This window comes from Homo sapiens, chromosome 9, assembly GCF_000001405.40.
Source record: "Homo sapiens chromosome 9, GRCh38.p14 Primary Assembly".
NCBI lineage: Eukaryota > Metazoa > Chordata > Mammalia > Primates > Hominidae > Homo > Homo sapiens.
This window is the reverse complement of record NC_000009.12, coordinates 78,307,587-78,334,008: the sequence shown is the minus strand read 5'-3', so window position 1 is coordinate 78,334,008 and position 26,422 is coordinate 78,307,587. Positions and strand designations below refer to the sequence as shown.

The 26,422-nt window shown below is 45.9% G+C and overlaps 1 protein-coding gene across 2 annotated transcripts in view; it reads right to left on the bottom strand.

Annotated features, from left to right (window-relative positions):
- PSAT1 (phosphoserine aminotransferase 1) overlaps window positions 3,916-26,422 on the bottom strand; it is a 32,969-nt gene continuing 10,462 nt past the window's right edge. Inside the window, exons 6-9 of one of the 2 annotated variants that reach the window (NM_058179.4) lie at window positions 25,426-25,595; window positions 16,205-16,333; window positions 5,821-5,958; window positions 3,916-5,028 (exon numbers count right to left, since the gene is read on the bottom strand). In NM_058179.4, the coding sequence (NP_478059.1) occupies window positions 4,923-5,028; window positions 5,821-5,958; window positions 16,205-16,333; window positions 25,426-25,595 (543 nt within the window). In that variant the 3' untranslated portion in view covers window positions 3,916-4,922. The remainder of the gene's footprint in view (window positions 5,029-5,820; window positions 5,959-16,204; window positions 16,334-25,425; window positions 25,596-26,422) is intronic. The other variant, NM_021154.5, reaches the window with a different exon arrangement.

Below are 26,422 nucleotides of genomic sequence, written 5' to 3'. Positions count from 1 at the left end.
AGAAAATCCAATCGACATCTCTAGGATTTCAGATACCACAAGCTCTTATTTCTGTCACATCAAATGAACAATTTTATTCTTTAGCTTCTTAAAATAAATTCAATAAGCCTTTGCTCATTGCTAGCTTTTCTATCTCTCTTCCAATCTCTTTGATCAGGATCAAGACCAAGATTCTGTCCACTCTGGAATAATAATCCAGGGGTAATTAGAACTTCTTACCTTCTTTAGCCCAAAAGAAGCCAATTTATCACAAACTGTCAGGAATTCCATCTTTAAATTACCAAGAGCCCAATTACTGACAGAAACCAGGAATCTTCCTTCCAATTAAAATGATCGATTTCTTAGCAGACTCAGTAGCATTTCACTTTTTAATTATACTCATTCCCATCAAATGTGAAAAAATTCTTCCTCGTTTTATTTTCCTTCCAAAGAACGTGATACAACAAACATTAATCATGGAGGGCAAGGCCAGACCTGATAATGCCTTTGGTAGAATTGGACAACATCTAATGTTTTGTCCATTTTTATGTGTCTTCAGCTTGTAGAGCCCCTTCAGCTCTAAGAGGAGGGAGGAGGGACTACTTCTTTGTTACCTCACATAATTCACTTAAGTGCATGCCAAACCTGCCAGCTTCAGGTAAGTTATGATGAGACAGCATTAGGCATTTCAATCAATGGGCTCTAGCAGGGGATTTAGGCCTTAGGGACAGAACATGATTTTATTTCTCATGCAAAGAACAGAATTGTAGTATTGGAGACAAAGCAGGGCATAGAGGTAAACACAAGGAACACAAGAAAAAAATTTGGTTTTTCTTGGTTGTATGGCATTATAATGATTACATGTTGTAAATAATTGTATTTTATTTAATTAATTTATTTTTTTTGAGACAGAGTTTTGCTCTTGTTGCTCAGGCTAGAGTGTAATGGCACAATCTTGACTCACTGCAACCTCTGCCTCCCAAGTTCAAGTGATTCTCCTGTCTCAGCCTCCTGAGTAGCTGGGATTATAGGCATGTGCCACCACACCCAACTGATTTTGTATTTTTAGTAGAGACGGGGTTTCACCATGTTGGTCAGGCTGGTCTCGAACTCCTGACCTCAGGTGATCCGCCCACCTCAGCCTCCCAAAGTGCTGGGATTACAGGCATGGGCCACTGCACCCGGCCTTAACCAATTTTAAAAGAAAAAAAAAAGTTCCAAGTTCCATTTGGGGAAGAAGTACAATTTAGAGGCTCCAAAGGAATATGAGGCAGCCCCTCTCCCAGCCTCTGCAAGGCTGCAAAGACACCTGTCAATCTACCTTGCTTTCCATTTTAATCTTCAAGGAAAGACCAACCAGTTCTGACTCCTGCAGCTTGCTGACCCAGAAGCCTGTATCTTTATCTCCCCTTTTCACCCCTCTCTGCGTGATCAGCAGGTTGGCATCAGTTCATTCCCTCGAGACATACAAAGGTCAAGTTTTTTGCTCTGATGAATATTTTCCAGCAATATCTATTCCAGAACCTCCCTGTTTGGCCAGACACCAGTGATTACCCCTTGTCCGTATGTGGTAGTTAACCATTTTCCAAAAGCTTTCAGATTTATAAAGATGGTTCTGGGGGAACTCACAAGACACTAAATTTCCTCATTCAACCACAGAATCATATTTGACCATTTTAGTAGAAAACGAAATTGGATACTAAGCTCTTGAAAAAATATATATATTAAAAGTCCACGTATGTGGTGGTGGCTCATGCCTGTAATCACAGCACTTTGGGAGCACAAGGCAGGTGGATCACTTGAGGTCAGGAGTTCGAGACCAGCCTGGCCAACATGGTAAAACCCTGTCTCTACTAGAAATATAAAAGTTAGCCAGGCGTGGTGGCAAGTGCCTGTAATCCTAGCTACTTGGGAGGCTGAGGCAGGAGAATCACTTGAGCCTAGGAGGCAGAGGTTGCAGTGAGCCAAGATCACACCACTGTACTCTAGCCTGCACAACAGAGACAGACTCCATCAAAAAAAACAAAAGGTCCATGTTATGTGACAGATCATACCTCTCTGCCTTTACTCCAAGCTCAGTTTATGGTACTCAGAAAGACCAACGTGACCTACATTAAGATTTTTCATTCAGCCAGACGCAGTGGCTCTTGCCTGCAATCCCAGCACTTTGGGAGGCCAAGACAAAAGGATCACTTGCAGCCAGGAATTCAAGACTAGTCTGGGCAACATAGCGAGACCCTGTCTCTACAAAAAAATTTAAAAAGTTAGCCAGGCACAGTAACATACACCTGTAGTCCTAGCTACTGGGGAGGCTGAGGCAGGAGGATAACTTCAGCCTAGGAGGTCGAAGCTGCAGTGAGCTAGTATCACGCCACTGTACTCCAGTCTGGGTGACAAAGCGAGACCCTGTGTCTAAAAAGAACAGACTTCACTGGGCACCTCGAAGGGCAAGGCAGGACACTAGGTGCTTGAGGTAGAGAACCATCGTTCTTTCCATGCTGCTGTATGGGGAAGGCACATATGCAGCCACCTTGGCATAGTAAAGAACAAAACAGAGATGGTATAATGGGAGAAAAGGATCCCCCTGGTGAAAACAAAGGAAAAGAACATTGTCCCAATGGAAAGGACACAAATGAGTTTAGGAAGAGGTTGGCGGGTGTCATCTGGTCTTCCTGAGTGGGCACAGAAACTCCAGGCTTATGTCATAGTGTGGGCAAATGCATGCCACTTTCCAAGAATCACAAATGCAGGAGAGGTGCAAGAGGCCATGTCCCATGCTACAAAGTCCTGACTGCCAGGCTGGGAGTACTGGACTTTGTATGCATCAACAAAGAGCACAAGGGGAAGTCATAGTTCAACTGGCTGTGGTGGGAGGGGAATATGGGGGCAGAGAAGAGACTGCTGAATAATCCACTGAGGGCTGACATAGCAGAGCTGACATGGCAATGGAATGAAAATTAGCAGATATTTGAGAAGCACAGGTCTGATACAGATGACAGGGATGTGCAACCACATATGAAAGGGTGAGGAAGGAGGGGAGGCTGACTCTGAGCATGACTTTTATGTGTGAACACTTAGTTGGAATCCATGGACTGCCTGGCTTTTGCTACTTAAAACTTCATTGTGGTTATTATTCACATCCTGCATCGAGCCCTTGTTTTAAACTTTTAAACATCCTTAAGGTAAGTGGTGGGGGAGTTATTTCAACCCTCCTGTTACAGATGACAGAACCAAGCCTTGGAGCCTGTGACCTGAACAGGGGAGCCAACTAACCAGTGCAGAGATGGGACAAGACACTGGTGGAGTCCTCATTATGCAATCAAATAAACCAGGAAGATAGCTCAAAACAGTCCTAGTGGCATGTTTCTGGGGCAAATGGGACAAAGCTCATAGAACTTTACACCTTCAGAGCTGGGCACGGTGGCTCACGCCTGTAATCCCAGCACTTTGGGAGGCTGAGGTGGGCGGATCACCTAAGGTCGGGAGTTCGAGACCAGCCTGACCAACATGGTGAAACCCCGTCTCTACTAAAAATACAAAAATTAGCCATGCATGGTGGCTGGCACCTGTAGTCCCAGCTACACGGGAGGCTGAGGCAGGAGAATTGCTTGAACCTGGGAGGGGAGGTTTCAGTGAGTCGAGATTGCGCCACCACACTCTCCAGCCTGGGCGACAAAGCGAGCCTCCATCTAAAAAAAAAGAACTTTACACCTTCAGCTGCAATGGAAGGTGGTTTGCTGATAATGCCCATTCCAAAAGCAAATGGAAAGCTCCCACACCGTGTTGAATTTTTTTAAATGGATGCACAAGAATTAAGTCTTAGATCTTTGGTTGAACTAAATTACCCTTAGCAGGTGCTATTTTTAGACCTCAAGCTTTCCCATCATAAAGAACAATTTGTCTAAAAAGCAGGTAGAGAAATTCATTGACAAGGGCTTAGATGTTTTAGGACTTTAATGTTCTTTACATATTCAACATAAAATACTGACAATAGATAAACAATAGGGGAAAGACTTTTCAGCAAAGTATCACTCTCGTAGTCATACATTACAAAGAAAACAGTAGAGAACAAAGGATAGGGTAATTTAACAGAAATGTTTAGTTTAATGGCATAATTGAAAAACAACCAACCAATCAACTTTCTCTTCTACCTATGGAAAGAATGGTAAAAATGAATCAAGAACTTCTAGGTCTTTTTCATAAAACAGCTTAAAAAGAGGAAGGCGAAGACTGGGGAGGGGGTACAACTCTTGCTAATGGAATGCTATAATGCACAAGGTCAAGGATTTAATAAATTCTAAAAGTGTCTACATATATCAGTGATAACTGTATTATTAGAAATATAAATGTATAGAAATATAAAGTATATGGTATTAAAAACAGACCTTGCTAATATAAACATATATAAAGTATGTCACTTCTCCTGTAATAACAGCATAAAGATCGATCTACAGTTTGCCCTTCGCCTGGCACTCTTAAACCACTCCTCCAATGGTCAATGTTGACCTTGAATCAACAGCCGCTGAACCCAGGAGACCCCACAGATGTGTAGATTCAGCACCTAGAGGGCCCCCCTACCCTCTGTGCTGTGTGTTCCCATGACTCCAGAAATAATTAATCGCAACTTGCATTATTAAGTCCACAGGCAAGTTTGAAATCTAACTAGAAAAAGTAGCAGCAAAGGCAAAATACGCGGGAATTTGTTAGAAAAGCAACAAGATTTCTTAAAATGCTTCCAGTTCAAGTCAGAATTAAGGTGACATTAGGTCCCACCAGCTTTACAGAGTTGTGGATGTTTTGCTGTTGTTCTTTCAAAAAAGAAGAATCTGCAATAAACATGTTCATTTGAGAAAAATACTGTGTTAACTTTTTGTAGCCATCCCCAAGTTACTTTAAACTTTGTATGTTGTTCAAGAACAGAGTATATCCTGGTTAGGATGTGTTCATAGCTGATGCATCTCCAAAAATTTTTTCATGAAGGCGGCCAGCTTCTGAACGTCTTCAATTGTGACAGCATTATACAGAGAGGCCCGGATGCCTCCCACAGACCTAGAATGACCAAAGATCCAGGCATTGAGAACAAAAACGTCTAATTTCGCATCAAAACACCTTTTTCTAGCCACTGGCTCCTGAGAGTTGCAGCACCTGAGACCATCATTTCCGGTCTCCTACCTAAAAACTCCCGACACCTGGCACAGAGCTTCACACGTCTCAGTCATCAGAAAATTCTCCCTTAAGCTGTGAAGGTTCACCATGCTCACATTTAGAGTCATTCGAACTATTCACTCTTGGCAAAGAAAGCAAGCAAGATGTGGGGAAGAAAAGGTAAGTTGGAAGAAGATAGCGATTCTGTTCAACATTCATGAGCCTGTCGTGACAGTGCCAGCAAGATCGGGGCTGGGCTATTCTCATGTGAGGACATTCCCTGCTGCTATTCTCATGTGAGGACATTTATTTTTCATAGAGCATGCAAGACTAGCTACTAATTTGATGTTCAGTTGGAATAATAATGATTCTCTACCTCCAGAACAGAGTGGTGCTGGCCTCATCAGAGATGGAATGGCAACCTCTGTGCTATACGAGCAGTGTAAGAGATTTTCAAAGGTAATTTTGCCAAAACCCTCATGGAAGATGGAGCTCCATTATACTCTCAGCTGGGGAATTATGCAAAGGGTTCCATAAACAACAGGAAGAAGGCACATCCTTATAACAGCTGGGTTGGCCCAACAAATTACATAACTGCTACTCCAAGCTAAGCAGGCTCCTATAGATTTGTTTTATTCTGCATTTGAAAAACTAAGCTAATTCTTTGCCAAGCTCGTGCATTGCAGATGTACTCACCTATGCCCTTTCAAGGACAACATATTGAGTTCAAGAGCTTTATCAAGAAATCTTTTTTCTAAAGCATCATCTCCTTTGGCATTGCCAATGCGGAATGGAATATTCATCTTGCTTCTATTTTGGGGCTCCACTGGACAACTGAAAAACATGTTTATTATTCCAGCTACTTTTCTGAAATGTATGGGTTGTCATAAACAAATCAACAGATTTTTTTTTCTTAACACTTCCTAGATGCAAGCAGAAGATTTTTTAAAAAACAAAAAACAAAAAATCTGCCCCAGCACATTTATTGTTTACTTAGGGAAAACAAACTCTTGCATATGGAACAGTGGGTTATCATCCCCTTGTATGACTTGTACTTAATTTCCATCAGCCTCAGTTTCCTCACCTGAATACTGGGAATAATAATATCTCCATTTCAGACTAGTTGTGACGGTTTAGTGGTACTACATATATGAAGCTTCCAACACATGGCAGCTGCACGGCAAATGTGAGTGACCTCTTTCTCTGCAAGGCTGCAGAGAAATAATAAGTTGGTCCTATAGTGGCTGTAAGGCAAAAATAATGAGCAGCAACTTCCAAAGGACTTACCATGGTGTATTGCCCCAAGCTGTGTGACCCTGAGCAAGTTACTTAACCTCTCTGCTATGCCTCACCTTCCTCATCTGAACAGTGGGAATAATAGAGGAACCTACCTCAACCACCTCAAGTTGTTGTAAGCATTAAATAAGTCAGTCTTTATAGAGAATTTTTGTGGCCCATTTAAAAATAAGAAGAGGTGGAATCTAGTTTTCCATCTTTTGAATCTGGGCTGGCCTTTTGACTGGCTTTGGCCAAGAGTTTACAACAGACTCTTTGCACCTTCCAAGCCTAGGTCTCAAAAGACCTTACAGCCTCTCCTCCCGCTCTCTTAAAATATTGCTGTCATGGCCAAGCGCGGTGGCTCACACCTATAATCCCAGCACTTTGGGAAGCCGAGGCAGGTGGATCACGAGGTCAGGAGTTTGAGATCAGCCTGATTAACATGGTGAAACCCCATCTCGACTGAAAAAAAAAAATACAAAAATTAGCTGGGCGTGCTGGCACACACCTGTAATCCCAGCTACTCAGGAGGCTGAGGCAGGAGAATTGCTTGAACTCGGGAGGTGGAGATTGCAGTGAGCCAAGATTGTGCCACAGCACTCTAGCCTGGGCAACAGAGCAAGACTCTGTCTCAAAAAAAAAAAAAAAAAATATATATATATATATATATATTGCTGTCACTTAAGCATGTTTGAGCTAGAGTGCTGGAGATAAGTGTCCCAGCCAACAGCCAGCACCAACTGCCAGATATGTGAAACCACTGTAGACCATCTGGCTCCAAATGAATAACCAGATGACGACTTCAGTAGAATGAGGCATCCCAAGACCAGCAGAAGAACCCCCTAGCTGAGCTCAGCCCAACCTGCTGACCCAAAAAACTACGAGCAAGTGAATGGTGGTTGTTTTCAGTCACTTAAGTTTTAAGGTGTTCTATGATGCAGAAACAAATAACTGACACAATTTAAAACTATGTCTGCAACATATTAAATGCTATATAAGTACCTGTTAATACATCTATCTTTTTAAAAATTTTTATTTTAAATTTTTCTGGGTACATAGTAGGTGTACATATTTATGGGAATAAATTCATCTTTTTATTCCCAGCACTTTGCATAAGGTACATATCGACTCTCAAAAATGATTATGAGTGAATTTTTGTCTAGGAAAGGTTCGTGTTTGACTTCAGTTTCTGCTTTGGAAAATAAGCAGCCAAAATTATTTTTCACTGGCAACCAAAGGAGACAAATGGAAGAATAGCTGACATTACTCTGCAATTTTTTTAAAAAAAGGTACAATGTGTAATAACCCTCTCTTTCCCTTTGCTCAAGTATATCCTCTTTTATTCTTACACTTCTACGGGTGGAATTCATTAAAATTACAGCAAATAAAGGCAGTGTGAGAGGCCCCCTGAGGGCACATCTGTAATTCTTGTTAAAGTTAATGAGAGTCTAGTACACAGCTTCAAGCAAAAGAGAGGCCAAAGGGGGAAACAAATATGGGGAAAAGACTTTGAGCCTGAATTCCAGGCCCCACTATTCGAAGTGGTAGGTTTCACGGCTGACATTGAAAATAAACATTCAACGGCTACCCTCTTTTGATATTCCACTGCCTCAGGCTCCCAATGTGAGGCTCCAATCAGAGAGGTGGAGCAACAAAAAGCACATTTAACTTAACAGAAAAAAATTGAAAGCAGGAAGAATTAAGCATCCGTATTTACAGTTCCTCTCCCTGCAATTTACCCATCCTATCATGAAAGTAGAAGATATCACAAAGCAATAATGTCATAAAAGTGAGAAATTAAAGACTAAATTGTCATGCAACAAATATTTATGCACTACCCATGGGAGAGTGTCTCTAGTATGGGGCTGGGGGGAGAAAAAAAGATTAAGGGAAATTAACTGCTTCCAATCTACAGAGAGATGGCTCCGGAGGGAATCACAATTATACGTAGGAAGTGCTGTAACAGCCAAGGGCTGCAAAGGCAGAGAAGCCAGATAAGGAATTCAGCAGCGGCAAGGTTGACAGGTTTCAGGGGAGGGGACAAGGCATGGTTCCAACAGATGAGAAGAAAGGGCATCTGGCAGACAGCTGCATCTGCAAAGGCACAAAGGCTTCCGGCAAGTCTGCTGACTTAACTGGAGCACTGGCTTCCTGGCTGGGGTGGCTGGAAGACCTACAGGGCCGGGGCTGTGGAGTGCCCTGCTGGGAACTGGACTGGATCCTTGAGCAATGAGGAGTAATCCACAACAAAATGCGGTCTGTGTTTTAGAAAAATAATTACAGCACACAGAGGAGAGACTGGGGGGTGAAGAAACTGGGAACGCACAGACCTGCTGGAAAGCTCTTATGAAGAACTTTCTACGGTTCCAGTATCTAATATGGCCACAGTAGTCTTGATGACCAAAATCATTTTTTTCCATCTTTAGGAAGCTACATGGGAACAACCAGATCACACAGCCCTGAAGCTACTGTGCATGTGAATGAACCTGTCTTCTGCTTCATTCCTGAAAGCTGCACCTCTGTTTTGGATTCTATATTGTGTTTGTGTATTTACATTTTGATTCATAGTAATGTCTCATGCTATGGGTTTGCACTGAACGCAAACTGTAAATTAAAAAAAGGAAATGGCTGGAAACAAACAAAAAAAAAGCTTTCTAGGTCAAAAGAACTAGGGCCTGTACCAAGGTGCCGGCACCGAGGAGCTTCAAGCATGGGCGGCAAACTCTAAGCCAGCATGTCCCCGCACCACTCACATAAATGAGTAGGACGGGCCGGTGTGGAAGGTGCAAACAAGCTCTCTCACATTTTAAACGTGGAGGACTAGTCTGAAAAAGAGGCTCTCCCTTTTTTTTTTCCTGAAACATATGGCTATCCCTGTCAAAGTTTCTTTTTCCCATTTTCACAGGCACATGGATTATGGAATAAGAAACCAGATCTCTAAGTATCTTCCAAGAGCCCAATATTGGCTCAAGTTGTGTTTTTAAACATGGGTGACCCCGTCAAGCACCACTGTGGGCTGGATCTAGCCCCTGCTCCCCAGTGAGCAATCAATCCCTGGAGTTAACACCAAATTTCAGAGGTGACCAGGTCTGTTGTTTGAATGGGTTGAGGGCCGAGGTAGGAGAAGGGGCCAAGGCAGACTGAGAGGCTATGTGGGCTATGGATGGGCATGGAACCAGCTGGAAATCCCAGGGCTGCAAAGATTTAAGGAGAAAGTCCAAGTGGGAACCAGGGAAAGAGCCGCACTTCCCAACATCTTGGTGGAGCACGAAGATGTCAACAGGCATTCTGGGAAAGTGGTTCCATGGCCAGAGAAACTTAGGAAAGCTGCATTCACAGAGCTAGGCAGACCTCCTCACTCCTGACTTCCTGAAGCCTCTCAACAGCTCACCGACCACGTAAATGAGGAACCCCAGGAGGTCAGACAGGAACGCAGTGTTCCCCCATGACTGAAAAACCCTTCCTATTGTGGGGATGAGAGTTCCAGACAGTCCCCTCGGAGACACGCTGCTCAGGGACACACCGGGACTTTCCAAGGTACTGGAGGAGGGGAACATGGCAGAGGTACACCTTCAGCCAGGGACACCCATCCCACGAAGGTGGTAAGGCTCAGAAGGGAACGCAAGAAAGTCACAGGAGATGAGCAGGCAGTGAAGAAACATCACTCCACAGTCAGGCCCCTCTGAAAGGATGTGTCAGATACACAGGGAATGAGAAAGAAGAGTATGTGAAGAGAAGCCTACCAAATGCAACCCTATGTAGGCCTCTCCTTACTGCCTGGTTTTGTCAACAAAAAATTAATTTTAAATTTGTACATGATTATGAAAATCTAGAATAAAAATATGAAGATCTGCCACCCCTCTTCCCACAAGAGGTGGCTACCCTAATGGTCTGCTGTGCATTCCTGAAGATCATTTTAGATATACACATGTACGTCTGTGTGCATATGCATGTATACATGTATGTGTGTCTATGTGTAAATATGTATGTATATATAACTCTTGTAGTTTTGTTTTTGTTTTTGTTTGAGACAGGGTCTCACTCTGTCACCCAGGCTGGAGTGCAGTGGTCCAATCTCAGCTTACTGCAGCCTTGACCTCCTGGGATCAAGCGATCCTCCCGCCTCAGCTTCCCAAGCAGCTGGCACTACAGGCATGTACCACCACACCCGGCTAATTTTTTATTATTATTATTATTTGTAGAGACGAGGTCTCACTATGTTGCCCAGGCTGGTCTCAAACTCCTTGGGGTCAAACAATTCTCCCACCTTGGCCTCCCAAAGTGCTAGGATTACAAGCATCAGCCACTGTCCCTGGCCTTGTTGTAGTTTTTAAAGACTAATAGATTTGTCTTTTCCTACACTTGCTCTTGCTCCTTTTGGTCTGATGACATAACACAGTCATCTTCCCATGTCTGCTAAGAGACCCGCTTCATCCTTCTCAATGCAGTCATTCCATATTACCCACAGATCCTCATTGTTTTCATCAGACCCCTACTGATGGGCACAACTGCATATTTCCACCATTACATCTTACATTGGACTTGCTGGTCCCTAATTTTGTGCACACCACTGTACCCAGGCAGAGTGCTGGGGAAGGGTAAATCTGTAGACATCAAAATCCTTGGTCAAAGCCCATGTAAGTTTTGAATTATAATGAGCGCTGCAATCTTTGCTCCAAATTTGTCCAGATTTATACTCTCACCAAAAGTGCATGCCCTTGCTGGCACCAGATGTTATCAATCCTTTTAATGTATGCAGATGAAAGGCAAAACATATCTCATGGGTTTAATCTGCATTTCCTAAGGAACTAATGAAGGTGGCATCTTTCCATTTGTCTATGAGGCAGCTTGCATTTCTTCTGAGTTGTTTCCTCATACTGTTAGCAACCACCACACCCCCACTTTTATTTCCTTATCCTTTTTCATTCATCTGTGGGTTCTTGCCTAAATTAAGGATAGTAACCTTTATGTTTAATATACTACAAAATCTTTCTCATTCTGTCATTTTTGATTCTGTTTATGATGTCTTAAGCCATATAAAATTTTAAAATTTTCATGTAATTAAATACGTCATTCTTTTACTTTATAGCTTGAGTTGTATGTTTAAGGCCTTCTGCACTCCTGGACATAGACAGCAGCAGAGGTTCTGGAATGAGCCTTCCACCCCCATGTTCGTAGCCTGGCTGGTCCCACTTTCCAGCTGCATCCTTGTCCTATCTGTGCTTCTGCTGCATAGGCTCAATGTCTACTTCACAGGGTTGTGATGACAACAAAATGCATTCACATGTGTAAGGTGCCTAGGACTCTGCCTGCTTCATTTTATTTTAGGGTCTTCGCTAGACCCATCACGTGCCTCCTTCTCTTTCCTAAGGCCTGGTACCCACATAAGGTGATAAAGGTGACCTCAGATCCAGACATGGAATCTGTCACTTGGACATCCTTATATAATAAAATTAATATATATTATATACTTATATAATTAATTATATTACATAAGCTTATATAAGCACTGTGTGTCAGGAATATCATAATTGCTTTATATAACAATAACCACAAATAATGATATTAAGAGCTAACATGCAAGGAATGCTTCCTGTGTGCCAACCACTGTTTCTAGCACTTTATACAAATTAACCAGCACAAGAGTCCTCAATCCTTAATGTAAAAATGCTCTCAATCCTTATATTATATATTCTTGATTCAGAAGCATTTCCTTTTAATTCTCTTGACAATTTTAAGAAGTATGTATCATTACCTCCATTGTACAGATGAGAAAACTGTGGCTTAGAGCAGTTAGGTCATTTGCACGAGGTCACACGCACCACCGTGGCAAAATGGGGCTTCTAAGCCCAAGGTGCTAAACGGCCCACGTGGGCTCAACATGGGGTCAGTCAGCACAGTGTGGGTGACTGGGCTATGGAATCAACTTGGAGGCTTCGATGGTTGTCTTATCTAGTCCCAGAATTCCCTGCCAAGGTCACTGGCAGGGCTGGTGAAACCCCCAGCAAACAACCTGGAACTATGTTAAGGAGCTGGTTTACGAGTCAGGGGGCATGGAAGTGGGGAGGGGGTGCATCTTCTCAGAGACAAAAATGAGGAGCAAAGGTGGTGGTAAATTGCAAATTCTAATTCTAGGTATTCCTCTTTAAAAGTGGCCACCTCCCATGGGGCCATGTTGCTCAACTATTTCCATAGTTCCAAAGAAAAGAAGAATTTCCTGAAAATCTAAGTGAGTTCAGGCACAGCCTGGGAGTCTCCAGCTATAAACAGAGGAGAGACAGAGTACAGCCTCCTCTCTACTCCAGTAACAAGGTCCCACAGAACACCAAGTGCCTGGGATGACGCTTTCCAGGCAGGCAACTGAGGGGGTGGTGGGAGTTCCTAGAAAGAGGTTTATTCTTAAAAGGACTGGAAGTCCTGGGTCAAGGCAGTTCAGAAATGAGTGAAGAGCTCTGGGTGTGAAGGATGACCAGATTCCCCAGGAGATGACCTGCCCAGGAGATGACCTGCCTGCCACATTAGTTTGGCAGGCTGCCTTCTGGGAGAGGCCCAGGTTTAGTGCTTGGAGTTAAAGGACCTAGGCGTGGCGGGGGGGGATTCAGGAGAGTCCCAGAATTCCTTCTATGCTTTCTTATTTTGTTCCTGATGCCCTTAATTTTTTTCCCAGTGGTATCACCGTTCTTTCTGTCCTCTAACATCATGTCTACACATCTCCTGAGAAATGTATAGAGCTAAAAGCTAATAGAAAAATTGGTCTCCCGTCCACTATACCCACCAAGTGCTTTTACTCACATTCAGGTTCTCAGCACTTTTTAGGGAGCCAGGGAAGATGATTTATTCTTCTCGGTCTTCCAGGAGCCTAGAACAAGGCTAGTGTACAGAGCAGGTCCTCAGGAGCCATTTTATGGATGGATGGACGGTTGGATGGATGGACAGATGGATAGATGGATGGGTGGGTGGGTGGATGGGTGGGTGGGAGAATGGATGAGTGGATGGATGGATGGATGGACAAGTGGGTAGATAGATGGGCGGATAGGTGGAAGGGTGAATGGACAGATGAGTGGGTGGGCGGGTGGATGAATGAGTGGATGGATGGATGGATGGATAGATAGATGGGTAGATAGGTGGAAGGGTGAATGAATAGATGGGTGGGTGATGGATGGATAGATGGATGGGTGGGTGTGTAGGTAGATGGATAGATAGGTGGGTGTGTGGATGGGTGGGTGAATGGATGGATGGGTGGGCAGATGGATGGATGGATGGATGGATAGATGGATGGATGGAAGATTGATGGATGAGTGGATGGGTAGGTGAGTGGATGGATGAATGGATGGATGGATGAATGGGTGGACAGATGGATGTCTGGATGAGTGGATGGGTGAATGAATGGGCGGGTGGATAGATGGGTGGATGGGTGAATGGGTAGATGGGTGAATAGGTGGGTGGAAGGATGGGTGGGTAATGGATGGATAGATGGATGAGTGAGTGGGTAGATGGATGGATAGGTAGGCAGGTGGTAGATGAATAGATGGATGGGTGGGTCAATGGTGGATGGATGAGTGGATGAGTGGATGAATGTATAGATGAATGGGTAGACAGATGGATGAATGAATGAATGAGTGAATGAGTGGATGGATAGATGGGTAGGTGGGTGGATGGGTGGGTGAGTAGATGAATGAATGAATAAATAGGTGGACTAAACACGCCCTCACACACTTCCACGGACCTTCTTCCCAATCCCAGCATAAACCATGCCCTTCAAGCAGCCCATGTTCTGCTCCCCAAACACACTGTACACTCTTCCCTCAGTGCCTTTGCGGGGATGATTCTAACCTTTCTAAAAGTACTTCTGCCCTCTTCTCTGCCTAATTCCACTCATGACCAGGGCTCATAATAAGCTCATGCAAAAGCCCTCTCTTCACTCCAACCAAAGAGTATCCCCCTTTTCCAGGCTCATGCCACATTCTTTAGCCCTTGGCTATGAAATCTTTGGATACCTACTGCTGATCGTGCACTTTAAATGGCTTCAGTGAGCACAGGCAGGGTATCCTGGCCTCCAAACTCACACATCAAGGTCTAGTGTGGAAGCTTCCCCAGCACTGAGCCCCCAGCCTGCACTTGCTTCTCTGTTGCACAGAACCAGAGAACAGGCAGTAATGCAGAGTGTGTACCCCTTCCCTGAGATGGTGCCTGGGAAAGGAGCCCAAAGGCCAAGGCATCCCGCCAAGCCTAACTCCCCCTGGGCTTGCAGCTGGAGGAGGGCCACTGCATGTCAAGAGCTCACAGAAACAGGCAACAAGCATTGCAAGAACAAAGGTGACAGCAGCATGCCATCCAAAAAGTACACCAGCACTGCCCGCCCATGGGTGGTTATGGAGATGTGTTAGTTAAGTCTTGGCTAAAAAGTACAATCCTAAGTTAGGACAGAGGCATCGTTTTGTCGGTCCCATGTGGCCACTGAATTATCTGAGAGAGGGCAAATTTCCAACTTACCATCAAGCAGATATTTTTGTTACTATAGACTGAACCCCAAAGAGCAATGGCCACTAAGAAGGGGGTTCTCAGTTTGGTGAGTTTAAGCATTTATGTATATGTGTAGGCGCACATACATGTACACAGCAGGAAGTCTGGTCTTTGTATACCTGTAACCACCTTAAGGGAAAGGGAAAAGCAAATGAAGATACCACCTGTTACACTTCTCTGCATCCAAGGCACCGCACTAGGTGCTTCCCATCTGGCATTTTGGTGAAGGGCCTATTGTTGTGGATTGAATGGTGACCCTGAAAAGGTATGCGCATGTCCTAACCCCCAGAATCTGTGAATATGACCTATTTGGAAAAAAAGGACTTTGCAGATGTCATTATGTGAAGGATCTCGAGATGAGATGATCCTGGATTATCTGGACAGGCCCTAAATCCAAAGACCTCTCTTTTTAAGAGACAGAAGGGAAGACACGGCAGAAAGAAGGCCATGTGAAGACAGATGTGGAGGCTGGAGTGATGCAGCCACAAATCAAGGACCACCCTGAGCCACTAGAATCTAAAGGAGGCAAGGCATGGCTCTCTGGAGGGACCAAAACCCTGCTGACATTTTGATTTTGAACTTCTGGCCCCAGAAGAGTGAGAATCAGTTTTCTGATGTTTTGAGCCACTAAGTCTGTAGTACTTTGTTACACCAGCCCCAGGAAACTAATACAAGACCCAGACATTTTCTGCAGAATTCCCAGGTGCAGGGGCAGTGGTTAAGACATACTCATTAATCATTTGTTCATGGGAATATTTAAACTGGAGTCAGCCCATGCCAAAGCCAATTCCATTCACAGACTCTGGGATAACAGCATCTGTCTTATAATAAGGAAAGGAGTGAATTTTCTTAAAAAGGGAAATAACGCAGAAGAGGAGGACAGGAGTATTTGTCCCAAAGATCGCTAACAGGAGTCCTTAAATTGACACATTTCAGAAAGTACATTTGTTTTTTTCCCAGAAGATATACAAAGGAGGGAGTAGACGGGACCTACCCCAGGGAGTGAACTGAGATTCTTCCCCAGGGCGATGTCTTTGGTGTGAGAAACATCACCACCCACTGGGACACAGGTCCCAAAGCCTGAGAGCCCCAGGGTGAGGTACAGGAGGGAAGAACTCACCACCCACTCCCCTGCTCATGGGGCCCAGGACCACACACACTCACCAGTATTTTAATGTCTCAGAGAAAGGTGAATATGTCCACTTTTCAAAGGTACACAGTATATACACAGTTTTAAATTCACAAGAGGCAAAATAGGAGATAAAATCCATTGACTTACACGTAGAATCCTTGAGAATTATCAATAATCTCATAAATTGTTTGAGATTTGATGGAGCTAAGCTTCTCCATGGCCGCGGCACCTCCATTGTTTTTAATCCACTCCAGAACCAAGCCCATGACGTAGATGCTAAAATGAAGATTTTTAAAAAATCCGTTTAGCTCATCTTTGCAAAAGTAGAACTATATTCAAGCAAACTGCTGTTGAAGGTGCATTAAAACAGACTTAAACACATTATTTGAAATAGACAAGATAGTCAAATGCAGTGGCTCACGCCCGTAATCCCAACACTTTGGAAGGCCGAGGCCGAAGGATCGCTTGAAGCCAGGAGTTGGAAAGCAGCCTAGGCAACATAGCAAGACCCGTCTCCATAAAAATTGAAAAATTAGTTGGGTGTGATAGCATGTGCCTATAGTCCCAGCTACTTGGGAGGCAGAGCAGGGAGGAATGCTTGAGCCCAGGGGTTCGAGGCTGCAGTGAGCTATGATCACACCAATGCACTCTAGCCTGGGTGACAGAGCGAGATCCTGTCTCCAAAAAAAATAAAGAAAGAAAATACACAAGACAAAAGCAGGGCCCATGTGAACAAGAGCATGTCATCAAGCAAGGACTAGGGTCAACCCAATTCTAGATCCCTGAGGGCCATTCAGAAAAAGGTTTAATCAGATTTTTCACTAAACATCATATCAGTCCCTCCTTGTCCAGCTTAAGCCCTAATGTAAACTCTTCTTGAGAGCCAGAACACACTTCCTTATCTCCACCAGAAGGCATCAGCAGACCCCAATCCCACCCCTACCCAGAGCGAGCTCTTCACTTCCTGAACTCCCAGAGCGCCTTGCCCATATTACCTGCATAGTTTTTTTCCACTTGCTCTTTTAAGTTTCTGTGTGCCTGTTGTTTGGCCTCTGTGGTCTTGGAAGGCTAGAAGCCCACGCTGTTCATCTTTTCTACCCACATCCTTAGCACAGTGCCTTCCAGCCAGCAGAGAGCACTGTGGCCGAGGGGTTAAAAGGACGGGCTCCCCCTCCCAGTCCTGACTCCCATTGTAGGGCAGCCACTCACTAACAGACTACCCAGAATTAGTCACCTCGGTTTTCCCATCTGGAACCGGGAGATCCACCTACCTGTGGTGGACACCTGGCATTTTATCCACCCTGCTCTTCCCAACTCCACCCTCCAGCCAGTATGCAGGTCCAGCAAGGCCCCTTGGCTCCCTGGTCTCAGAGTTCGGCATAGGACCTAACTGGGCCAATCAGGGCCTTCCCTGAGATTTTCTGAATTGGGTGTGGGGAGAAAGAGTGGGGAGAGCAGAAAAAGCGGCAGAATATTAGTGCAACTGTGAGACAGGAGATGAGAGCCCTAGGGGATCATGTTTCTAGGAAACATCTGAAGAAGGCCCATCTGAAAATGAAGCCAACATTCCCGCTGAGAGAAGCCAGGATCAGAAGTGGAGAGCAGATGGAGGAGGATTTGTGTCCCTGGTTCCAGGAAGTCCAGCTGCACCTGGGCCCTTCCCGCAGCTCAGGACCATCCCTTTCTGAACCAAGTATTTCAACTTCTTCCTGCCAGACCAACGCTTAGCACAGGGCCTGGCACGTGGCAGGTGGGCCACACAAATGGCAGTCAGTAGTCCCTTCAAACTTAAGCTGAAAATATGAAACACTGAGGAGCGGTGCATGGTTTTCCCCAGTCTGAAAACCCCTCTCCTTAAGAAGGTGCTAAAGGCTCCACGTGTACTCAGTAAAAGCTCAGGGCACAGGAGGAGAGGTCGCCCAGGGAAGACACCATCTCCCTTGAGCTGGGAGTCTGGAGGTCAGCTGCCAACTATGCCCTCTCCAGAGGTGTGAATCAAAGATCCCCTATGGGAATTGTGCAAAAATTTACTGGGAGTCAATGCTCAGCTAAGATCTAGGGTGGGGATACCCAGCTGCTTCCTCCTTTATTAACAGGAGGGGACATTATGGGGTCTGGAAAATGCTCTAACAGCCAGCAGCTTGTCACAGGGAAGCCCCCTATACCAACTGGCTCATTCACTGTCTCAAGTGGGACCCAAGGCCTGGGTGCAGTGGCTCATGCCAGCTCATGTTGGCAAAAGCCAACACCGGGCTGCCCAGAGGGGCCTTAGGCAGGGAGCAGCCAGCAGCCACAAACATCCAACAACCTCTCCTGAAGCTTCCCCAGCCTACCTCCCCAGACAGCACTGGGAAGAAAGAGCAAGAGTGGCTGCTGGCAGAAAGGGAAGGCAGGGAGGAAGAGGAAACAGCCCCTGAGAATATCCACAGCCTCAGCGGTAGCTCTCTGGCTAACGTCCAAGAAGTCAGAGGGACAAAAGAGACAGAAGAGAGAAAGTAAGAGAAGGGAATGAGTACTTCCTGAAGTCTACTGTGGCCTCAGCCTATCTTTATTGATCACAATAATCCTCGGGTTAGAGCCACCGTCATCCCATTTTCCAGATGAGGAAACTGAGGCTCAGAGAGGTTAACTTTGCCTCAAGTCATCTGGCAAGCAGCTTAAAGCCAGGACTCCAACTCTAGCCTGTCTGACTCCAAGAATGCAAGCTCTTCCCACAAGTATGCAGGCCCTCTGCTTTGCCAGGGGCTGCAGGGCTCCAGCCACTAGCTCCCCTGCGAGTGGGACTGCAGAGCTATCACCACACACCAGTGACAGTGGCCAAGTCCAGCACACAGCACACATGCACGTGGGTGTGCATTCCAGACACGAGGCTGCCCAGCCCTCTGTTCATCAGATGCTCTGCAATTCCCACTTCACTTCCAACTGCTCCTCTCCCACACCTGCAGCCTGTTCACCCCCCACCTCCACACAGAACCACAGAAACACACCCTGCCATGTGATTGAATCCAAGCAGAGCCCAGGTCACCAACAATACTTCCAGGTGACCAAGCTTCCCTTTTGCCTGAAGCTCTGTGTTAGCCCAGGGTTTCAAAGCTGACATGGGCCCTTGCTGCACTGTGGATTTGGTTTGTCTAAATCCAAAGTGCAGCAAGGCCCATGTCAGGTCCACCGTCCTAGCCAGACCTCAGTACCGACGCCTGAACCCCTAGCTGACTGCTGTGCTCACACTCGCCGCCCATGATCTCTGGCTTTCTTAATGGGATCTGAGGAGGCAAGGCCAGCAGAAAGCTCACCCACTTTTAGGGGCTGCCTGGAGCCAGCACCCATAACTTGGCTCTATGAAGCCTAAACAAGAGGCAGACAACTCAGAAGCAAGCAAGCTGTCCTGAAGACTGAAGACATCCCTGGGATAGGAGGTCCTGCCTCCCCTCCCACCCAGCCCTCTGCAGAGCACTGATGTCTAGCCCCTGTGACTCTACTTAACACAAGATAGGAGGTCCTGCCTCCCCTCCCACCCAGCCCTCTGCAGAGCACTGATGTCTAGCCCCTGTGGCTCTACTTAACACAGGATAAGAGGTCCTGCCTCCCCTCCCACCCAGCCCTCTGCAGAGCACTGATGTCTAGCCCCTGTGACTCTACTTAACACAGGATAGGAGGTCCTGCCTCCCCTCCCACCCAGCCCTCTGCAGAGCACTGATGTCTAGCCCCTGTGGCTCTACTTAACACAGGACCCTCGTGGCTTCCAGTTCTTTATTAACTCATGTTTCAACTCCCATACCGTCTAAAATCTTGAAAACACAAGGGCTCTAAAACGCTTACACAGCTTATAGAGTGGTCTCAATTCTTCCCACTACCAGTGTGACATTTTTAAGACTTATGCCTTCATTTCTAAAATGCCACCTGCAAACACACAGGATAGGGTTCCTAACTCTGCCTATTAAATGATTAAATAAATCGAGGTATGTCCATTCTACAGGACACCATATATATTTTAAAACAAAAAAGGGCCAGGTGTGGTGGCTCATGCCTGTAATCCCAACACTTTGGACGGCCAGTGTGGGAGGACAGCTTGAGGCCAGGAGTTTGAGACCAGCCTGGACAACATATTGAGACCCTGTCGCCATAAATTTTTTTTTTAATGTAGCCAGGCATGGTGGCACTTGCCTGTAGTCCTAGCTACTTAGGAGGCTGAGGTGGGAGGATCACTTGAGCCTACGAGTTTGCGGTTTCTGAGAGCTATCATCACACTGCTGCACTCCAGCCTGCACAACAGAGCAAGACCCTGTCTCTAACAAAAATAAAATTTAAAAGTAAAAAATAAAAATAGGCATTTGAGCTGACATAGCAGAATGCCCATGGTATATTGTGGAGTGGAAAAATAGAATTCACAGAACAATTTGTATGGTAAAGTTCAAGTTCCATTTGCATGATTAAATATATGACTCTGTATATTTGCATATGCCCAGTTAAGAGTCTGTTAGGATACAAAGCAAGCAGTGAACAGTGGCTACCCTGGTGACTCTGCCCACCTGCAAGTCTTTGCTAAGAGTATGTTACTGTTTGTTTCTTTGTTTCTTTGTTTGTTTTTTGAGGCAGAGTTTTGCTGTCACCCCGGCTGGAGTGCAGTGGCACGATCTCAGCTCACTGCAACTTCCGCCTCCCAGGTTCAAGTGATCTCCCGCCTCAGCTTCCAGAGTAGCTGGGATTACAGGTGCACGCCACTACGCCCGGGTAATTTTTGTATTTTTAGTAGAGACAGGGTTTCACCATGTTGGCCAGGCTGGTCTCGAACTCCTGACCTCAGGTGATCTGCCCGCCTTGGCCTCCTGAAGTGCTGGGATTACAGGCGTGAGCCACCACACCCAGCCTAAGAGTATATCACTGTTATAAATTTTTTAAAGCAATACAAAATAGTCCCTGTGCACCAGGGCTTAGAAAAGGACACCAGAAAGTCCCCTGGAAAACTCTCCCTGGCTGTTCTAAGACTCCAGCTCTGCAGATGAGGTTCTGAAGTTGATGTTATGGCACAGTTTTCTCAGGAATCGGTGAATGTAGCCACTGAGTTGAGCACTTTTCCCAGAGGAAAGCTCCCAAAACTGGCTCCACTACACACCCCTCTGTGAATTCCAGGATTCCAGGCATCCCCATCCCACTGGGAGAAGGTAGTCTGGGACCAGTGAAGCCTTCCAAACAGGCCCACAAACTTAATTTGCATGCTCCCATTCTTTTATTTATTTATTATTATTATTATTTTTGAGATGGAGTTTTGCTCTTATTGCCCAGGCTGGAGTGCAATGGCACAATCTTGGCTCACTGCAACTTCTGCCCCCTGGATTCAAGTGATTCTCCTGCTTCAGCCTCCCGAGTAGCTTGGATTACAGGCATGTGCCACCATGCCTGGCTAATTTTTGTATTTTTAGTAGAGACGGGGTTTGTCCATGTTGGTCAGGGTGGTCTCGAACTCCCGACCTCAGGTGATCCACCTGCCTCGACCTCCCAAAGTGCTGGGATTACAGACATGAGCCACTGCGCCTGGCCTGTTCTCATTCTTTTAACAGGTGGCCTAAGATTAATGGTCTATTTGTTTTGTATTTTTATTAGTTACTTCACCTCATACTGCAGCTAAAACAAACGTATGCTTGTGTATTCAGTTAGTCATGGTAAGTAAAAAATATTTTGTGCAGTCAGAAGGGAAGTTTAGGGATCTTTTTCTCTATGCACTAATTGGGGTTAGTGTGTTCTACTGAAGGGTTAAAGAGAACAGCAGTGTGTTCTTTATTCCACTCTAGTTCATCACTCAGGGCTACGGAGCAACGATTTGAAGGCAGTTTTATCCAGCACAATTAAATCAAAGTTCCCAGGGCCTATGGTCATTAGACTCTGTGGGGAAAAAAAAAAAAAGGCGTCTTTTCAAAAGTGAGGCCTTTTCAAGAACTCTACTATGTGATACAAAGTTCTGAAGGGCTCCAGGTACCCCATCAGCCTCACATCACGGACTGGGGAGGGGATTTTGCACACATCTTGATGTCTCCATTTGCAGCTTGTTCTCATTGGGTGAGCAATGATTTTCTAACCTTGCATGGTTTTTGTTTTGTTTTTGTTTTTGTTTTTGTTTTTGTTTTCAGACAGTCTCACTCTGTCACCCAGGCTGGAGTGCACTGGCGTGATTTCGGCTCACTGCAACCTCTGCCTCCCAGGTTCAAGGGATTCTCCTGCCTCAGCCTCCTGAGTAGCTGGGACTACAGGCACCCGCCACCATGCCTGGCTAATTCTTGTATTTTTAGTAGAGACGGGGTTTCACCATGTTGGTCTGGCTGGTCTCGATTTCCTGACCTTGTGATCCACTCGCCTCGGCCTCCCAAAGTGCTGGGATTACAGGTGTGAGCCACCGCACCCGGCCGTGTTCATTCCTTTTTAAAAAAATGCTCTTCAAGGTAACCCTTGAAGAAGGTACCAGAGAGTGACTGTCTGCCCTGCCCCAAGCTGTACCCTGATCGCAACTTGCTGGCCTACAGGCTGTGGGACAGTTCAGGAACAGCACTCTTTCCCTGCCCCCTCCCACCTTCTCACTTCTGAAATGGGTGATGGTCTTGGGCTCCTCTGAAAGCCTCCTCTAGCTGCAAGGCAGGCCCTGGCCCCATCTCCAAACAGGTAAGGACAGCCTCCTGTACCTCTACCTGCCATGTGCAGCCTGACATCTCGGCCCCTTCCCCCGGAGGCCAGCACTTGAGGTCCCCAGCTGCACCCTCACCGCTCAGCCTGCCCAGTTCTTGTGTCCCAGTTGGCCAGTGACCACTGGTGCTTCCCCAGAGGTAAGACAGGCGAGTGGGAGGTAAGACTCAGCCCCACTCCCATCCCTACCATGCATTTTAGAAACATTTCAACCAAGGTAAAAGACAGTAGGGTTTAGAGGTGACCAGGAGAGTGCATCCCAGAACACTCCCCTGAGGAAAGTGGGAGACACAATGTGAGGAGCTGCTGCTCTGCATCGTGTGACCAAGCAGAAACCCAGCAGAATTTTCACCAGAATTCTAACATTGAAAAAAATTCCGGCGGTGGCTCACGCCTGTAATCCCAACACTCTGGGAGGCCGAGGCAGGTGGATCACCTGAGGTCAGGAGTTTGAGAGCAGCCTGGCCAACATGGTGGAACCCCGTCTCTACTAAAAATACGAAAAGTAGCCAGGCATGGTGGCAGGCGTCTGTACTCCCAGCTACTCGGGAGGCTGAGACAGAATTGCTTGAACCCGGGAGGCGGAGGTTGCAGCGAGCTGAGATCACGCCACTGCACTCCAGCCTGGGCAACAGAGCAAGATTCTGTCAAAAAAAAAAAAAATTCTTTCCTTTCCATAGTAAATTATGTAGAAGACATTTTCCCTAAGCAGCACCTGGAGGAGGGGAAGCTCTGACAAAATCCTGGCCCAGATGGAACCACTAACTGCACCAGCCTGAGCCCCCTCTTTCCTACGCTCCTTTAAGAGAACTTCCACCAAGACAAGAAAATCCTGTTGAGAGAAGAGCTGGACTCCAACAGTGAACTATTCTCCTAAGGCAGAATCCTGCAAACACACGCAAATCCACACTCATCCTTTTGCTGGTGAAGAGAGAGCACTAATGGCAGAATGTACATACCCAGGATCTAGAGTCAGATGGCCTGGGTTCACACCCCAGCCAGGCCACTTCCTAAAATATGACCTCGGCTTCCTCACTTGCAAAATGGGAATCATGATCATAACACTGGCTACCTACTAGGGTAGTTGGGAGGATTAAACGGTCATACACATAAAGCATCACCATTCTGCATCATAGTGGCCCTAGAAAGATAAATCTACAAACTCCAGCTCTTCCCTTGTGTCTGCTCCTGCTGAGGCTCTGAGAACTCACAATAACAATAACAACATAGCAGCTAATATTTATCAATCACCAAGTGCCAGGTACTCAGTGCAAAATTTAAAATTTTTATATATATACACAGATTTATTTATATGTATGTTAATCTTCACAGCAACCCAGTGAAAGGGGTACTATTATTACTTCTAGAACCTACCACACAGACATGTTAAGTGACTTGCCTAAGGTCACACAGCTAGTAAATACTAGACTCTCTTAGGCAATTGTAAATCTTAAGAGCCATGAAGATTTTCTCAAAATACCCAAGTTTGGGAGTTATAGGATCCTGAGGCAGGGCAACCCTGCTCTTCCTGAAGTGCTGCAACGCAGCCCCCAGTCAGCGAATGAGAGCCAGGCTAAAAGGACCCCTTCAGATTAGGCTAAAATACAGAAAGATGTTGGCCGGTTGTGGTGGCTCATGCCTGTAATCCCAACGCTTTAGAAGGCCAAAGCCGGCGGATAACCTGAGGTCAGGAGTTCAAGAGCAGCCTGACCAACATGGTGAAACTCCATCTCTACTAAAAATACAAAAATTAGCTGGGCGTAGTGGCACGCACCTGTAATCCCAGCTACTCGGGAGGCTGAGGCAGGAGAATCGCTTGAACCTGGGAGGTGGAGGTTGCAGTGAGCCGAGATCATGCCACTGCACTCCAGGCTGGCAACAGAGCGAGACTCCGTCTCAAAAAACAACAACAACAAAACCCAGAAAGGTATTTAAGCCAGTATGTTCTGTCAGGCAGCCAGCTTCCCGCAGGCCCGACAGAGAAAGAAATGAAGGCAGGGGAGGCCCAGCTTTTGAAAGTTCTTCTCCAAAGCTGCACTGGCTGTTTGAGATGCAGGCCACAGCACCTCATGTATAGAGAGCTTTTGGGTTAATGGTGAACCACCGGATCCTGGATTACCAAGACCAAACAAAAAACAACATCCCCAGAAAAGAACAAGAGGAAAAGCTGATCAAATGGTAAAGAGATGGTGCAGAGGGAGAGGTGAGCTGGGCAGAGAATCTGATAGGATATCTGGGGCATTTGATCACCGGCTCCTGGAAACATGCTTTACTTTATTTTACTTATTATTTGTTTGTTTGTTTGCTTATTTATTTATTTATTTTGAGATGGAGTCTCCCTCTGTCACCCAGGCTGGAGTGCAATGGTGCCATCTCGGCTCACTGCAATCTCCACCTCCCCGGTTCAAGAGATTCTCCTGCCTCAGCCTCCTTAGTAGCTGGGATTATAGGCATGTGCCACCACGCCTGGATAATTTTGTATTTTTGGTAAAGACAGGGTTTCACCATGTTGGTCAGGCTAGTCTCTAGCTCCTGACCTCAAGTGGTCCATCCACCTCAGCCTCCCAAATTGCTAAGATTACAGGTGTGAGCCACCGCGCCCAGGCTTACATGTTTTATTTTAAAATGTAACCTCCGCTTTGATGAAAAATAGTGAGACCCCTCCCTGGGTCCACAAGACTGACTCCCAGAGTTACCTGAAACATGGAGGCGTGTTGTACAAGGAGCTGTTTCCAGCCTGCACCTTGTATTCCAGGACCGAGGGGCACTCTCGGAGGGCAAACCCCAGCAGGTCATCACGGACAATCACCACGGTGACCCCAGCAGAGCCAACATTCTTCTGGGCACCAGCAAAAATCACACCAAACTTAAAAAGAGAAAGACATGCTGCTTAAGAAGGATTTGGCCATTTTTCATACATGTATGCAAACTTCCCAACTCTTCCCGAAGCACAATTTTTTTAAGGAAATGACTCTATCCTGTGTAGGGAGCAGTTCATGCTCTAAAGCAATCTCCATGTGGACAGCAAACCCATACTCAGAGTTCCAAAGCCTGAGGATGATCCGTCAGCCTGGTCCTCACCTGGATGGGGCTAACCCAAGCCCATCACTGCAAAGTCCTGGCACATATTCACATTCGCTCTGCACACCTCCTTTCTACCCCCAAAGTAGAAAGGAGTCTTTAACGTGGGGCCTCTAACTCTCCCTGGTTACCAAGAGAAGAAACATTTTTTTTTTCTTTTGAGACGGAGTCTTGCTCTGGCACCCAGGCTGGAGTGCAGTGGCGCAATCTCGGCTCACTGCAACCTCTGCCTCCCGGGTTCAAGCAATTTTCCTGCCTCAGCCTGCCGAGTAGCTGGGATTACAGCGTGTGCCACCATGCCCAGTGAATTTTTGTATTTTTAGTAAAGACGGGGTTTCACCATGTTGGCCAGGCTGGTCTTGAACTCCTGATCTCATGATCCACCCTCCTCGGCCTCCCAAAGTGCTGGGATTACAGGCCTGAGCCACTGCGCCTGGCCAAAACAGATTTTTTAATCTATTTACATTTGTATAAAAGAACAGTCAGAAGGTGCTGAGAAAGGGACTGTTATGACAAAGAGAAGGGATGGGACAAGCTGCCTGAGGGAGAAGAAATTATAGAAAACAGAGGCTTAAAGGTACTTTAGGTAATTCTGTTGTGCAAGATACAGAA